The following is a 3,735-nucleotide window of genomic DNA, read 5'->3' on the forward strand; positions in this document are numbered from 1 at the left end:
CAACCTCTGCTGTAAGTGCCAGGCACTGCCCATGCTTCTGGGGGGCTCGGTAAACTCCATGGACCTTTATTAAGGCCCTATTTTGTACTATGTTAAATGTATGGAGAATAAAAAATGACTAAGGCTGGAGAATAAAAAATGACTAAGGCTCAAGACAGCTCCCTACATAATAGAGAAAGGAATAGAAAATCTTTCTTTTTTAAAGACTATTGTATAGGTGGGGCACGGTGGCTCATGCCTGTAATCCCAGCACTTTGGGAGGCCAAGGTGGGCAGATCACCTGAGGTCAGGAGTTCGAGACCAGCCTGGCCAACATGGTAAAACCCTGTCTACTAAAAATACAGAAATTAGCCGGGCGTGGTGGCAGGTGCCTGTAATCCCAGCTACTCAGGGGGCTGAGGCAGGAGAACCACCTGAATCCGGGAGACGGAGGTTGCAGGCAGCCGAGATCTTTCCATTGCACTGTAGCCTGGGTGATAGAGTGAGATTCTGTCTCAAAAAAAAAAAAAAAGACTATTGTATAAAATGTTGTGAAAATTCCCCTCCCCAACTGCGACCAACCAGGATATCCCGTTAGGCTTGCAAGAGCACTCCCAAAGTGGCCAACTGTTGTGGGTTGAATTGGGCCTCCCAAAAACATAAGTTGAAGTTCTAACATGCACGGAGGGAAGAGGATATGAAGAGACACAGGGAGAAGGCAGCCATCTGACACAAGCCGAGGAGAGGGGCCTGGAACAGATCCTTCCCTCACAGCCTCTGGAGGAGCCAGCTTGGGATCTTGATGTTGGACTTCTGGCATCCAGGACTGTGCGAGAATACATTGCTATTGCTTAAGCCACTCAGTTTATGGTGTCACAGTGGCCCTAGCAAACCAACACAGATTTTGGGACTGGTACCTGTGCATTTGGCCTTTTTTGGAAATAGGTCCATTGCACATGTAAATAAAATGTATGTTAAGATAAGGTCATTCTGGAATAGGATGGGTCCTTATAAAAAGAGAAGAGGCCGGGTGTGGTGGCTCATGCCTGTAATCCCAGTACTTTGGGAAGCTGAGGTGGGTGGATCACTAGAGCCCAGGAGTTCAAGTCCAACCTGGGTAACATAGTGAGACCTTGTCTTTTTTCTTTTTTTTTTAATTTTTTTAAATTTTTTTTTAGACAGAGTCTTCCTCTATTGCCCAGGCTGGAGTGCAGTGGCGTGATCTTGGCTCACTGCAACCTCTGCCTCACGGGTTCAAGTGATTATTTTGCCTCAGCCTCCTCAATAGCTGGGATTACAGGCACATGCCACCACGCCCTGCTAATTTTTCTATTTTTAGTAGAGATGGTGTTTTGCCATGTTAACCAGGCTGGTCTCGAACTCCTGACCTTAAGTTATCCACCCATCTCGACCTCCTAAAGTGCTGGGATTATAGGTGTGAGCCACCGCACCTGGCTGAGACTTCATCTTTAAAAAAAAAAAAAAAAAAATTAGCCAAGCATGGTGGCATGTGCCTGTAGTCCCAGCCACTCAAAAGGCTAAGGTGGGAGGATCCCTTGAGCCAGGGAGGCAGAGGCTGCAGTGAGCTGTGATTGCACCACTGCACTCCAGCCTGGGTGACAGAGGAAGATCCAGTCTCAAAAGAAAAGAAAGCAAAAGAAAAGAAATACTTCCCACGTATATGTCAACTCCTTTCTCCCTTGTCTTTCTCAGCTGAAGAGAGTGGACAGTGAAACACTAATTCCAAGCCTCCTTTGAAGCTAGGTGTGACCATGTGATGCAGCTTTGAGATGTAGGCAATGAGATATCAGTTGAAAGCCCTGGGAAGCTTTCTTTTCCTGAATATAAAGGCAAATGCTTAAGAGGAGAAGGTTTTTGCTCTCTGTCCTTTGCCATGCCTCATTTTTCACACCTGGAATATGGATATGATGGTTTAAGGTACTGCAGCTATTCAGTGTCAGGAGAAGAAAATGACAGGCTGGGCGTGGTGGCTCACGCCTGTAATCCCCCACTTGGGGAGGCCAAGGCGGGCAGATCTCCTGAGGTCAGGAATTTAAGACCAGCCTGGCCAACATAGCAAAACCCCGTCTCTACTAAGAATACAAAAATTAGCTGGGTATGGTGGCGTGCACCTGTGATTCCAGCTATGTGGGAGGCTGAGGCAGGAGAATCACTTGAACCCGGGAGGTGGAGGTTGCAGTGAGCCGAGATCGAAATTGCGCCACTACACTCCAGCCTAGGGGACAGAATGAGACTCCGGAGTCCAAAAAAAAAAAAAAAAAAAAAAGCAGCAGCAGCAGCAGCAGAAGAAAACTGGATGCTAAAGAGAGGGAAAGGAGGCAGGGCGGGGCGCAGTGGCTCAGGCCTGTATTCCCAGCACTTTGGGAGGCCAAGGAGGGTGGACCACAAGGTCAGGAGTTCAAGACCAGCCTGGCCAACATGGTGAAACCCCGTCTCTACTCAAAATACAAAAATTCCCTGGGTGTGGTGGCGCGTACCTGTAATCCCAGCTACTCAGGAGGCTGAGGCCAGAGAATCGCTTGAACCCAGGAGGTGGAGGTTGCAGTGAGCCGAGATTGTGCCACTGCACTCCAACACTCCAACCTGGACAACAAGAGTGAGACTCTGTTTAAAAAAAAAAAAAAAAATGGAGAGAGATAGAGAGAGAGGGAAAGGAAAAGAGAAGGGTTCCATCAGCAGCTGCAGCAGTCCTTGGTTACCTGCTCCTGGATTGCTTGTTACATGCTTAAGCCATTGTTTTTTGTGTTTCCTGCTGCTCACGGCTAGAAGCTATTCCAATGGACATATGTTAGATAAATCAATTTGTAGCAGGTTGAATGATTGAAACCAAGGGATTTAATCAGAGCTGGTTTCATAGGGGTGTGACCAGTGCAGTCACACAGGGCCCCACATTCAGAAGGGCATATGCTTGACTTAAACCTCCACTGTCTCCACTTTGCCTGCATTTTCATTTTGCACTGGGCCCTATAAATTATGTAGCCAGCCAGTCCTGGGTTTAATGAATCAGTAGGATCCTAAATGAAATTGGTAAATGATCAATAAGCTCTGTCCTCAAAGTTGACCATTCGACATTTTTATTAAAGTCACAGAAGAGGACATAGAAGACACTATCAGATTTGTAAGTAGCACAAAATTTGATAAATGGCCAGTTAGTTAGATGACACATTTAATATTTTTTTAAAAATCTGAATAGTCAGGAAACTCAAATCTAAAAGAAGACATCTAACAAGAGATAAATGAGAACCCCTGTATTTGGATTTATTGTTTTTTCAAACACAAGGGCAGAACAGTTCATGTGGAAGGAGCTTTGTTGTAGGGTCAGGGGGTTGGGGTCTTGCAATTGCAACACTATGTGTCTCAAGTAAATCACTCCTTCTTTGGGTCACAATGCCTTCATTTGCATGCTAAGGGGTTTAGGTGGGTGATATAGGATCAGTCGCACGATTCTAAGTGAGCGATTGCCCTGGATTTGAAAATCTTGCCATATAGTGATACTTGGTAATAATATTTCATGTAGGAAGGAGTCATGTATATATCGTCTTAAAACTTGGAGCTGGTTGGTATCAGGTGAGTGGGTTAGGATTGATACCCCCCGGCCTTTTACCCTAGTGACACACACACACACACACACACACACACGTACAATATTAATGTGCATATAATAGTTATAACTGAAGATATCATATATATGATTTATAAGTCATTTTATTTTTATCACATTTTATTATAGTCACC

The sequence above is a fragment of the Homo sapiens genome, chromosome 21 (assembly GCF_000001405.40).
Source record: "Homo sapiens chromosome 21, GRCh38.p14 Primary Assembly".
In the NCBI taxonomy this organism is placed as follows: Eukaryota; Metazoa; Chordata; class Mammalia; order Primates; family Hominidae; genus Homo; species Homo sapiens.